Source organism: Homo sapiens, chromosome 10, assembly GCF_000001405.40.
Source record: "Homo sapiens chromosome 10, GRCh38.p14 Primary Assembly".
Taxonomy (NCBI): domain Eukaryota; kingdom Metazoa; phylum Chordata; class Mammalia; order Primates; family Hominidae; genus Homo; species Homo sapiens.
Genome location: NC_000010.11, coordinates 18768082 through 18781538, shown reverse-complemented (window position 1 = coordinate 18781538; position 13457 = coordinate 18768082). Strand labels below are relative to the sequence as shown.

Genomic DNA, 13457 nt, shown 5'->3' with positions numbered 1-13457 from the left:
TCCATTCTTACATTATCAGTAGAAACAAAATCTGTTCTGCCAATCTTCATAAACTGCTACTAGTTTATCTTGCCAATTAATAACCATTAAATGTTCTTGTAACTTAACAGTACAGGAGTCACTAATGTCATCAGTAAAAATAACCCATCATTTTGCCAAGTCAATGCATGGCTCATCAGCCAACTGAATCTCCACCGCAGATCAGTATCTAAACCCATGGGTACCATGCTCATCGGAACAGCTTTGTGCAAATGATACAGAGATCTCAACTAAACCCTGTAGGTGAGTGATATAAAAGCAGCATTGTAAAACAATTACAGAAATGAAAGCCTAAGTTAAATTACTCTCAAGCCCAACATGTTCCTATAAGTAATTTGCAGAAGGCTAAGCAGGACTATGAGCATAAATATGCTCTATAAAGTTATTCAAGTGAAACAGAAAGGCCATTTTCTGGCCTAAAGCAGTGTATAATTAAATGGTAGAAAGTGAATGAACAAATTAAAAACTAGATACTACATAAAAAGAAAACCTAAGTATAGCTAAATACAATTACTCATCCTTCAGCTCTCAACTCAAATACCAGTTCTTCAGACAAGTTTTCCTGACCACAATCAGTGCGTTCTTGCTCTCAGAAAACTGTTATGACCTCCTTCATCTGGTATTCCCAGTTGTTAAGTTTTATATGTATGCAGGATTACTTGATTAATGTCTACCCTGCACTGGCCTGTAATCTCCATGCAAGTGGAATCCGTGCCTGGTTTTTGCTCACTATTGAACCCTCAATATCTAGTCTAATCCCAGCACCTACTAAAATATCTCAATATATATTTATGAATAAATGATTAACTGTAAAATGTCTCCATTATGTTTTTATCACCAGTTATAACTTTGAAAAAGTATGGAAAGAATCCACTAGCGGACTAATACTAACATTAGGAAATCATATGTGATGGTTAATATTATGTGCCAACTTGACTGAGCTAAGGGATGCCCAGATAGCTGGCAAAACATTATTTCTCCGCGCATCTGTGAGTGTGTTTCCAAAAGAGACTATCATTAGAATCAGCAGACTGTGTAAAAAAGATCTGCCCTCACCAATGAGGGTGGGCACCATTCAATGCCTGAACAGTCAGAGCCTGAAAAGAATTAAAATGTGGAGGAAAGGTGAGTCCTCTGTCTTCTTGAGCTGGAACATTCATCTTCTCTTGCCCTCGGACATCTCAGGCCTTCTGACTCAGGACTTATACCAGCACCCTACCCAACCCTTCCCATCCTCTGTTTCTCAAGCCTTCAGAATCAGATTGAATTATACCAAATACTTTCTTTGTTCTCCACTTTGCAGATGGCAGATAGTGGGACATACCAGCCTTGCAATTGCATAAGCCAATTTCATATATATATATATATTATATATTGGGTGGTTTGTTATGTAGCAACTGGAATTGGAACAGCTACCATATAAGGAAAAGTAGATTGGTTACACATTTTATTATTGTTTAAAATTTTAATACATATAATGTATATATATTAAATTATATAATTTATATAATTTATAATATATAATTTATATATTATATATTTATAAATATAATTATATGAAATATATTGTATATAATAAATTATATATAATAATTTAATATAATTTTATATATAAATGTTATATTTATATATGTATAGAGATATACACACACACGCATATATCTCCATCGTATTGGCTCTGTTTCAATAGAAAGCCCCAATTAATACATCCTGAAAACACCACTCCCCTCTCTCTTTGCCTGTATGTCCTGAGCATCCTAAAACGTGGATTAAAAATACCTAACCATTTGTATAGACATTGTATAGAAATACAAAGAAAAAATTTAAACAATAATAAAATGTCTAACCAATCTACTTTTCCTTATATGGTAGCTGTTCCAATTCCTATTGCTATATAACAAACTACCTAAAACTTAAAAGCATAAAGCAACATGATTATATCATGCACAGGTTCTTTAGGTCAGGAATTCAGACAAAGCAGAGTGCACTTGGCTGTTTCTGCTCCAAGAAATTTACAACCTCAGCTGGAAAGACTAGAAGGTTGGAGGTGACTCAATTCCTTGGAGCCAGAATCATGCAGAGGCAACTTCACTTGCATATTTGGCCATTGGTGCTGGTTGTTGACTAGAACCTCAGCTGGGCAGTTGGCTGAAAACCTACAGTAGACGCTCAAAGTGCCCTCTTAAAGTGGGCTAATTTGCATTTCCTCACATCGGGGTATCTGAGCTCTAAGAATGAGCATCAAAAAAAAAAAAAAAAAATCCAGGCAGGAGCTATAGCATCTTCTATGATTCCCCTTCAAAAGTCACATGGCCTGGCTGCACAGTCCCTAGCCCATCCAGATTCAAGGCCACTCTTGACCCTAGCACTTAGTGGGAAGAGTGTTAAACTCATGGTGCAGGTTGGGAAATGCTGCTGTGGCATTTTTGGAATACAAAATCTTCCACATTTTGCTTCAGTTACCAAAGAAGCAAATATTACCAGGTGAAATGCCAAACATCATCTTTAAGCATAATTTGTTGCCCAAATCTTGTCACTTTGTGAATCTAAGAAAATCTATGAATTGTGCATTTCTGAGGCTTCTTCATGGCCCCTATTGATAACTTTGCTTTTGTATTAGTTTTTAGCAGAAATGCAAATCCTAAAGGAATAAAAACTGAAACCCTGACAGAAAAATGGATAAATGTAAATCACCATTGGAAGAAGAAAAAAATGATTAATAAACATGAGAAAACTATTAACCAAAATGTGCAAAGTAAAACAATAAGATGATTTTTATCTGCCAAAATAACTGAAAAAATGACAACATCAGCAAGAATTCTATTACAAATGCTGATAGGAATGAGTATTAGTTATCTATTGATGTGTAACAAATTACCCCCCAAATGTAGCAAATTAAATATTTATTATCTTACCGTGTCTGCAGGACACGAATCCAGGAATGGCTTCACTGGGTGGTCCTGGCTCATCAGCTCTCATGAGGAGGCCATCAAGAGGTTGGCCAGGGCTGCAGTCACTGGAAAGCTGGGTGAGGAATGAAGGATCTGTTTGCAAAATGGCTCACGCTTACAGTTGTTGACTGGAGAACTCAAGACCCTGCTGGCTCTTGGCAGGAGCCTTCTGTACCTCACTTACCACATGGACCGCTCCTCAAGGATGCTTACACGTTCTCATGATATGGCAGCTGGCTTCTCCCAGGGCAGGAGATCTAAGAGGAAGCAAAGCAGATGCCATCATCGCCTTTATGACCAGTCTGTGTTTCTGTAACCACATGTTGGTTTACATAGGTTGATGCTATTCATTAGGAAAAGGACTACATGAGGGCAGAAACACCAAGAGGTAGTTATGTTTGGCATAAGCATCAAAAAGTTGGCAGAGTCACTTTGGATAGCAATTTTACACCTTGTATCAAAAGACTTAAAAACGTTTTATTGCACATATATATATAAAATCTCCAGGGTAGGCAGATTCTAGAAATGGAAAGCTCATGGTTTCTGTGGTTTACAGGGGATGAGGAAAAGGCAGAATGGACAGTGACACTTGAATGGGTATGGAGAAGGGAGGCAGCAGAATGTATTTCTGAGGACTTGAAAATGTTTAAAATTAGATAGTGGTGATGGTTGCATAACTTTGTGAATAAACTTTAAAAACAGCTGAACTGGAAAAAATGTTTTATAGCGCAAAGTTAGCATTCGAAAATGTTTTTGTCGCAGGAATTGTTACCAGCCATGAATCCATACGGGTCCGAGGCAACCTCAATTCTTGCCTCCTCAGAAGAGTTCAACTGAGAGGGATAAGGCAAAAAGGAGAGGCCGAGGCAAGTTTTAGAGCAGAAGTGAAAGTTTATTAAAAATCTTTAGAACAGGAATGAAAGGAAGGAAAGAACACTCGGAAGAAGACAAAGCAGGCGAGTTGAGAGATCAAGTGCCCCATTTGACCTTTGAGGTAGGGTTTTATATGTTGGCATACTTCCGAGGCCTTCCGTCCCTTCTCCTCTGATTCTTCCCTGGAGGTGGGCTGTCCGCATGCGCAATGGCCTGCTAGCACTTGAGAGGTGAACATGCGCAGTGTCTTTACTGGAGTTACATGCACGCTCACTTGAAGTGTTCTTCCCTTACCAGTCAAATATACTTAGGAGGCCATATACCAATTAACTGCTGCTATTTGGCCTCTTAATGGGCATGCCTGTGCCCACTCACCCAAATCCTTAGATCTTACTGGGAACCTGCTGATCACCAGTTTCAGGTGTTTTCTATCTATTAGGAGGCTGCCTTTCCCTGACACCAGCTGTGACCAATTATTTTAGAGAACTAGTGTAACAACAGTCTGACCACCGCCTGATGGTCACCTGACATTCCTGGTGGGGGTGGGGGGCCTCTCCTGCCCTGCTCATGCCTGACTAGCTACCTACCGTAACAGAATGATTAAATGAATAAATAACCCAGTAGTTCCAATTCTAGAAATCAACTCAGAGGAAACAATGAGGTGAAGATGACAAAAATGTATATATCTAGATGGTCATTACCCATTATTTGTAACAAAGATGAAGTGGAAATTGAACCAAATGTCCAAATAAAGAAGTAATTAAATAAATTATAACACATTATATCCTGATTATTTTGCAGCTATTAAAAATTAAATGTTCAAAAAATTTTAATGATATGGTCCTGATACAATGTTAAGTGAAAAACAAATAAAGAAAAATATATAATTAAATATGATTCCAATCAGTTGTATTCATATGGCAGAATAAAGAATTCTGGAAGGAAATATAATACAGTTAACAATAGTTGTTTCCAGGTTGTGAGTTATAGGTAGTTTTTCTTCCATCTTTCTGCTTCTCTGTACTTTCATGTTGTTGATATTGCCACTGTGTTGTTTTTATAATTGGAAATATAATTTAAATGTTCATTTATTACTTTTCCTCCCAGTGTACTTTCTTTTTACCAACTCATGCAGGCCTGTACAACTTTGGCACTAGGTCATAACTAAACTTCTGCATTTTCCTATCATGTTAATATTGAAATAATATGCATATGGAGAAACTATATTCCTTATCCTAAGATCTACAATGACTAGAAGGTCATCAATATACACAGCAACTTATCAGACTATATTTTTGCTATCATAAATCTGATTTTATTTACACGTCACAAAACTTGCAACTTAAATCACAGCAATCACTGCTTGAGTAAATATCAGATGATATTACTGCTTGAGTAATATCATTTGAAGACAAACAGATCTTTTCATTTCGGTTTTATTTCTTTTTCTTTTTCCTTCCTTTAGGTAAATCTAGTGAGTCAAGACTTCACAAAAATTAGTCTGGTGTTTTATCTCCTAGCAATTCTGAAGTTAACTTGCCTGTTGTGTTTACATATAGGAACACTAAAGTCTTTCACTTAGAAATTCTAAGTGTTGTTACAAATGGTTTATTAAGCCACATATTCCTGCATGGAAATGAAATAACTCGATTACATTAGATAACACGAACAAGAATTAAATGACCAACAAAATTTCCAAAGCAAATTCTGAAAATGCCTGGAAAGAGAAGTGTTTTTCCTGAAAAGACAGGCTTCTTTCATCAGGAGCCTTGAATATTCTTCTCCTGTTTTGCAAATAACCACAAATGTAAGAAAGAGCTTGAATCTTTGCACTAAAATACCCAACATGTCCAAAATTATCTGTATAACAAAGAAAATTTCAATTCTCTTAAAAATAAAAGTTATCCTGATCTATTACACTTTAATGACTATTCTCCGTTCTTCTTTAAAAATTTATCAAATAAAAGTTTACTCCTATGTATCCACCTTGTTTGAAATAAAATGTGCTTTAAACCAGAACAAAGTTAAAAAGAAATTATAATAAGGACAAGACCAGTAAAATGTTTTCAAACATTCATTTTGAGATCTTTAATATCTTCTCTCTCCCATCATTAAGCTCAGAAACACAAATCCAGTCAAATATTATATTAATGGAAATGTTCTTCCAGGGTTGGTTTGTAATCTAATAAAACTATTAGAATTTTTATAAAACAACTTAAAATTTTCCCCCAAAGAAAGACGAAAACGACATACTTAGTAACCAACGCCGAATGAGAGATTGTCTTTTCTTTAGAAATGTAATTCCCCACTTAAATAAAGAGTAAGAACTGAGGAAGTGATAAAAATCCTCTTCCCTATAGTCTTTTTATGTCTTCAAATATAAGAATGGAGTATTCTTAAGATAGCGGAGCTAAAAACAGGCTATTTATTGGCACATTAGCAAGTTACCCAAAAGCTTTCTGGCAAATTGCCCACCATATAAGGAAAATGTGTGGATTTTGCTACAAATCCTACCATCAACTAATGTGTTATGAACAGAAGGCCTCATATGGGTTCAAGACATAGTATAAATCAATCATTTACACTTACAATTCCAAATTGCATTTCTGACAAATCAACACCTCAAGATGCACAAGTTATTCCTAGAAAATATAAAAACCTATCATTTTAGAAGCATTTGAATAAACAGATTTAAGTTTTCTCTACTCCTTTAAAATCAAATCACAGAAATTTTTAAATTTATCTCCCATCATTCTATTTTAAAAGTATATTATATATCTTTAATTCAAATAACACAATATGTTAAAGAAAAAACAGTTAAAAGCTATCCAGAGAGTGATGCTGCCTGTCTTCCCATACATTATAGATTTTCCAAATATTATCTGTGTTTCTTCATAAACAGCCCCTTTACCCATCCCAGAGGCAAAAGGATTTAGCAGTTTTAACAGTACAGACTGTGTCATCAGTTTGCCTGATTGGATCGAGGCTGTGCCACATGCCACGGAAAAGTTACACAACTGCTCATTGCCTCAGTTTTCCGATCTATAAAATGGGTGAGGTATGTACAATTACACCAATATGGGAACGATTACATTTTACATACCTCATTAAGAGTTTTTCCAAGGAGTAAATAAGTAATATAATTATGGTAAAAGACAGAAAAGCATCTGGCACATCATAGTGCTATGTTTTGGGTTTTTTGTTTTGTTTTGTTTTTTGTTTTTGGTGACAGGCTGAAATTTTTGTATTTTTTGTAGAGACAGGTTTCACCATGTTGTCCAGGCTTATGTTATTTTTTTCTAATCATTTCTGTCCTCATTGCCACAACTTGAATCCAAGAATATTTCATTCCCCTAAAGCTGCTAAATCAGTCTCCCAACTGGTCTCCCTAGCTTCTTGCTTCTCAGCATCTAAAGCACTCCTTTTTTCCAAGAAATTAATAAGTAAATTTATTCATTCACAAGTCTCTTGCTCAAATAACTTCAACAGCTTCTAATTTCTCTGGGAAAAAAAAATAAGAGCAACCATTTCATCTTTATAGCCTCCCATAATTTAGTGGTAACATGTCACTCCTAACATTGTCTTTCCCTGCCCCACTTAAATCAATCAGGCTGTGTCCTTCTCTCCTTGAGCTTCATGCCCGTGTCCTTCTCCCAACACTCTGCTGTCCTGCTTCTCCTTCTGGAATGTCCTCTCACCAACCACTCTGTCGACCCAACTCCTATTCATTCCTAAAGACCAAGTCCCAATTCATTCATAAAGCCTTCCTGTATTACCACAAACCCACACCGATCTGACTTACCCCACACATATATACTAAAATTCCTTCTCTAGTGGGCCCATTTGGGTCCTTTGCTATGTATCTCCCTGAATTTTAGCGTTTTGGTGTAGAATTCTCCTGTAAACATAAGAGTCCTTCATGCTTAATTTTTAGCATCTCCTCATTTCCCCCCACAAACAATTACCCTGTTTCTCTGAGGATTACAACTATGTTTTACTCATCTTTTGTCAGAGCCACAGCTAAGCACATAACAAGTACTACATGGAATTGATCTGAATATTTATGATCCCTGTCTACGCAGATGCCATCCTATTAGCATCTTTCAGATAAGGCAGTGTCTTGGAGCTGAAAAAAGTGGAGTAATTCTCTGCTGGGGAGTTCACGAAAAAGGGGACAAAATTAGTTTGTTGATTATCCCAAGTTTGTATCTGGGGCCTAAGGAAAACAACGGGGCCTCAGGAAAATAATAGCGCAAACATGGGAACTGGGAGCTCAGGCAGCTGTCATGGTGTCCTATAGGGAATTACTAATGGAATAGATTTCACCTGTTAAAAACCTGTCAGAGGGTTGAGGCTTGACTCCAGCAGTGACATGGTGACTATTTTAACTTTCTCCTGTCAAACGGCTTGGTTTAGAATGTCTTGGTTTTTTTCCTCCCAGTAATTGGGTCTGTTTGATTGAAGGAAGGAATCACTTTATTGTTGTGGAGGTGGCACCTTGGAGTTCTGCCCATGCCCTGACCTCAGGCCCCTTGGAATGGCAGGGGAAAGTTCCACCCCAATCACTCCGGCCCCTCCACTGTCCCAGAAAGGCAGGTATTCTCTATCATCTGCAGCCTCAAGGATGGAGACGCAACACTTCCCTCCCTTCTGAAAGCCTCTCTCCATTGTCTTCCCACCTCAGTACCCTCCTCAGCTCTTTTCCAATCTCAACCGTAAGCTCCCTCCCCACCACCTTGCAGTTGTCTTTCCTGTGTGTGCTGGTACTATTCACAATGTAGGAGAGTTACATATTTATTACCACTCAACAGACAGTTCCTTGAGGTCAAAAATGATAGTTTTTTCATCTGTGTACCCCTAGAAATGCCTTACACATTGTACATTCTTTTTGTTTGTTTGTTTCTGGAGATCCTAGTCTCACTCTATCTCCCAGGCTGGAGGGCAGTGGCACTATCTCAGCTCACTGCAACCTCCACCTCCCGGGTTCAAGCAATTCTCCTGCCTCAGCCTCCCAAGTAGCTGGTATTACAGGCATGCACCACAGCATCCAGCTAATTTTTTTGTATTTTTAGTAGAGATGGGGTTTCACTGTGTTGGCCAGGCTAATCTCAAACTCCTGACCTCAAGTGATCCACCTGCCTCAGCCTCCCAAAGTGCTGGGATTACAGGCATTAGCCACTACACCTGGCCACATCTTGATAAACAAATAAGTAAATCAACAAATAAAAGAATGAGAGGATGAATGCATTCTTCAACATTTGTCATTTTAGAGAGAAAACTGCTATTTCTCAACACTGCTGGGACGGAGGGCTCTGGCAAGTAGGGTGAACTGATGATACTAAATGCAGCCCTCTCACTGACCATAAGCACAGAGCAAAGCTGCCTGCAGACACCAGATTACACATTCAGAAAACCAGGGACACCTCTAGGAGATACACAAGTGCTGATCCCCCGCTCATAACAGAAGGACTTCTCAAGGAACTAAAATCTCTTTCTAACCATAGTTAGGGAATAAGTAACCGGGCACTGGTGATGTTTCTCATTTAAGATATTTTACCCTAGAATGGGATTTCCTGCTTAGGTGGTAAGCCGTTTGGGAAATGACTGCAACAATATTCTGTGCAGCAGAAAGCCCGTTATCACCTCAGAGATAATAGCAATGCCACCTCCAAAGGTAGCAATAAGAAGTTAGTTTAAACTCTTATGAAAGGACTGAGATTAAAGACAAAAATAATAGCAATCTTTGGGGGAAATCTGTTCCACAACCTTGAATAAGGGAAAGAGAAAAGATAGCAGGTCGTATCTCTATGGATTACTAGTCTCTACAGTCAGTGATTTGAAGTGCAGCAATGGTGTTTTATCCTTTTCAATGAATTAATTCTTACATTATACATAGGCCTAAATTAAAAAAAAAACAGTTGGGTTTTATAATGAAGAGAAGGGAAGACTGCTGCCAAGAAGTAAGGACCTGATTCTTTCTCACTTACTAGTTTGCTCAATGTTTCTCAGAAATCATGTTTAGGAACTTCTCATCTGATGCCCCTACTCAGAAAATACAATTGACTTTTGTGCTTTCAAACAACAGACATTTGATCAATGTCAAAGAAATTAATAAGTCTAGCAATACTGACAAGCCTAAATTATAGAAACAAATTAATGGTATTTCAAACCCTACCATTTGCATGTATTTCTTCATTTTTCCATGAACTAAGAGATTTAATGTTTAAAAGTTTTTTAATATTTTAACTTAGAACATATAGAACCCATAGCAAAGTACAAATATAATACACACTGTTCATCTTCAATCCAAAACACTGCCTAAAATGAAATATATCTATAAATATATAGATATAAAATCTTCTTTGATTATAACAAAAATACATTTGGTGTTTGGTGTTGTTACTATGTCTTACAGGTTAGAAAGCTTAGGTGCAGAATTACTAAGCACAATGTGCAAAGTCATATAGTTCACATGCAGTAAAACTCACATTCGAACTTTTCACTCTTGAATTAATAAAATGCAAGTACGGCCGCGAGTGGTGGCTCATGCCTGTAATCCCAGCATTTTGGGAGGCCAAGGCGGGTGGATCGCCTGAGGGCAGGAGTTCAAGACCAGGCTGGCCAACATGGTGAAACCCCATCTCTACTAAAAATAACAAAAACTAGCCGGGCATGGAGGCAGGTGCCTGTAATCCCACCTACTTGGGAGGCTGAGGCAGGAGAATCGCTTGAACCCAGGAGGTGGAGGTTGCAGTGAGCCGAGATCATGCCATTGCACTCCAGCTGGGGCATCAAGAGCGAAACTCCATCTCAAAAAATAATAATAATAATAAAATGCAAGTAAATATTGAGATCTGGTTGATGAATAAATCAACTTTTATTGGCCAGGCACAGTGGCTCATGCCTGTAATCCTAGCACTTTGGGAGGCTGAGGTGGGTGGATTGTCTGAGCTCAGGAGTTCAAGACCCGCCTGGGCAATGTGGTGAAACCCTGTCTCTACCAAAAATGCAAAAACATTAGCCGGACATAGTGGTGCCTACCTGTAGTCTCAGCTACTCCAGAGGCTGAGGCCTAAGAATTGCTTGAACCCAGGAGGCAGAGGTTGCAGTGAGCTGAGACTGTGCCACTACACTCCAGCCTGGGTGACAAAGTGAGACTCTGTCTCAAAAAAAAAAAATCAACTTTTATTCAACTATGATATTATTCAAATATTCTAGGGCTTTTTCCTCAAAATAAATAAGAACATGATTCATCATAAATGTTACAAACGACATCAACAAAGCTCTCTAAATGATGTGAAAAAGCAAATAAGCTGAAAGAAAGATTTTCCAACAGCAATAATAACAACAAAAAGTATCTCCCTTTGAGTGGTATTTCCAAAGCTTATTGCTTTGAGTAGTAAACTGTGCTTTTCAGAACACCAGTTTTAAAGGATGTTGAGATATTATGTGGGAATAAAAAGAACTCAACAGAAATCCTTTGCTTCCTATACACTAACAATGAACAATCCCAGAAGGATATTAGAAAAACAATTATATTTACAATAGAATCAAAAGAGGATAAAATGCTTAGTAATAAACTTAACTATGCAGGTGAAAACTTGTACACTGAAAACAAAATGTTACTGAAAGAAATTAAAGACGATATTAATGATATGGTTTGACTGTGTCCCCACCCAAATCTCACCTTGAATTGTAATAATCCCCATGTGTCAAGGGCAAGGCCAGGTGGAGATAATTGAATCATGGGGGCGGTTTCTCCCATACTGTTCTTGTGGTAGTGAATAAGTCTCAGGAGATACGATGGTTTTATCAATGGGAGTTCCCCCGCACACACTCTCTTGCCTGCTGCCATGTAAGACGTGACTTTGCTCCCCATTCACTTTCTGCCATGATTGTGAGGCCTCCCCAGCCATGTGGAACTGTGAGTCCATTATACCTCTTTTCTTTATAAATTACCCAGTCTCAGGTGTGTGTTTATTAGCAGCATGAGAACAGATTAATACAATCAGCAAGTGAAAGACAACTCATGTTTATGAATTGGAACAATCAATATTGTTAAAATGTCATTACTACCCAAAGCAATCTACAAATTTAATGCAATTCCTATCAAAATCCTAATGGGATTTTCTGAAGAATTAGGAACAACCATGTTAAAATTCATATGGAATCTCAAAAGACCCCAAATAAAAAAATCAATCTTGAAAGAAAAGAACGAAGTTGTAGGTTTCACAATTCCTGTTTCAAAACTTACTATAAATCTACCATAATCAAAACAGTGTGGTATTTCCATAAAGACAGGCATATAAAGAGCCCAGAAACAAACCCTTACATATATAGTCAAATGATTTGGACAAAGGTGCCAAGGCCATTTGATGGGGAAAGAACAATCTTTTCAACAAATGATGCAGGGAAAGCGCGATGTCCACATGCAAAGGAATGAAGTTGGACCCTTACCTTACACCACAGACAAAAGTTAACTCAAAATGGATCAAAGATCTAAACATAAAATCTAGAACTACAATGCTCCTAAGAAAACATAAAGGAAAAGCTTGATGACATTGGATTTGGCAATGATTTTTTAGATATGACACCAAAAACAGGCAACAAAAGAAATACAGATAAACAAGACTACATCAAAATTTAAAATTACTGTGCATCAAAGGACAGAATCAACAAAAAGGCAATCTAAGTAATGGGAAAAGTCATCTGCAAATCATAAATATCCAGAACATATAAGTAACTCCTACAACTGAACAAGAAAAAAAAATTTAAAATAAGCAAAGGACTTGAACAGATATTTCTCCAAAGAAATTACACAAATGGCCAGGAAGTACATGAAAACATGTTAGACATCACTAATTAGTAAGTAAATGCACGTCAAAACCACGACGAGATACACCTTACACCCTTTGGGATGGCTACTATTAAACAAAGATGCAAACACAAAATAACAAGTATTGGTAAGGATTTGGAGAAACTGGAACTCTTGTGCACTGTTAGAGCAATGTAAAGTGACACAGCCACCATGGAACGCAGTATGGCAGTTCTACAAAATATTAAACAGAATTACCAGATGACGCAGCAATTCTACCTCTGTGTATATACCCAAAAAATTAAAAGCAGGTTCTCTTTCATAGGATGTTTGTACACGCATGTTCATAGTTGCATTTGTTGCATTTTTCATGATAGCCAATAGTTAGGAGCAACCCAAGCGCCCATTGATGGGTGAATGGATAAACAAAATGCAGTACATACAAACGAGGGAGTATTATTCCACCTTAAAAAGAAAGAACATTCTGACAGATGCTACAACATAGATGAACCTTGAGGACATCATACTAAGTGAAAGAAGCCAGTCACAAAAGGACAAATACTGCATGATTCCACTTACATGACGTGCCTAGAACAGTCAAACTGATAGAGCCAGAAAGTACGATCATAGTTGCTGGAGGTGAGGGGAGAGAAACGAGAAGTTATAATTCAATGGGTATAGTTTCTGTTTTACAAGATCAAGAGTCCTGGAGATGGATGGTGGTGATGATTGCGCAACAATATGAATGTACTTAATGCCATTAAACTGTACACTTAAAA

The 13457-nt window shown here is 37.5% G+C and overlaps 1 long non-coding RNA gene across 3 annotated transcripts in view; it reads right to left on the bottom strand.

The window, feature by feature from the left end:
• Nucleotides 1-13457, bottom strand: part of LOC105376440 (uncharacterized) — a 126250-nt gene that overhangs the window by 55005 nt on the left and 57788 nt on the right. For 2 of the 3 annotated variants that reach the window (XR_930721.2, XR_930720.2), the window contains 2 exons: nt 3175-3247; nt 2955-3063 (listed from right to left, as the gene is read on the bottom strand). This is a non-coding gene — a long non-coding RNA (uncharacterized LOC105376440). Of the gene's footprint in view, nt 1-2954; nt 3064-3174; nt 3248-4008; nt 4045-13457 lie in introns of those variants that run through there. The other variant, XR_930723.2, reaches the window with a different exon arrangement.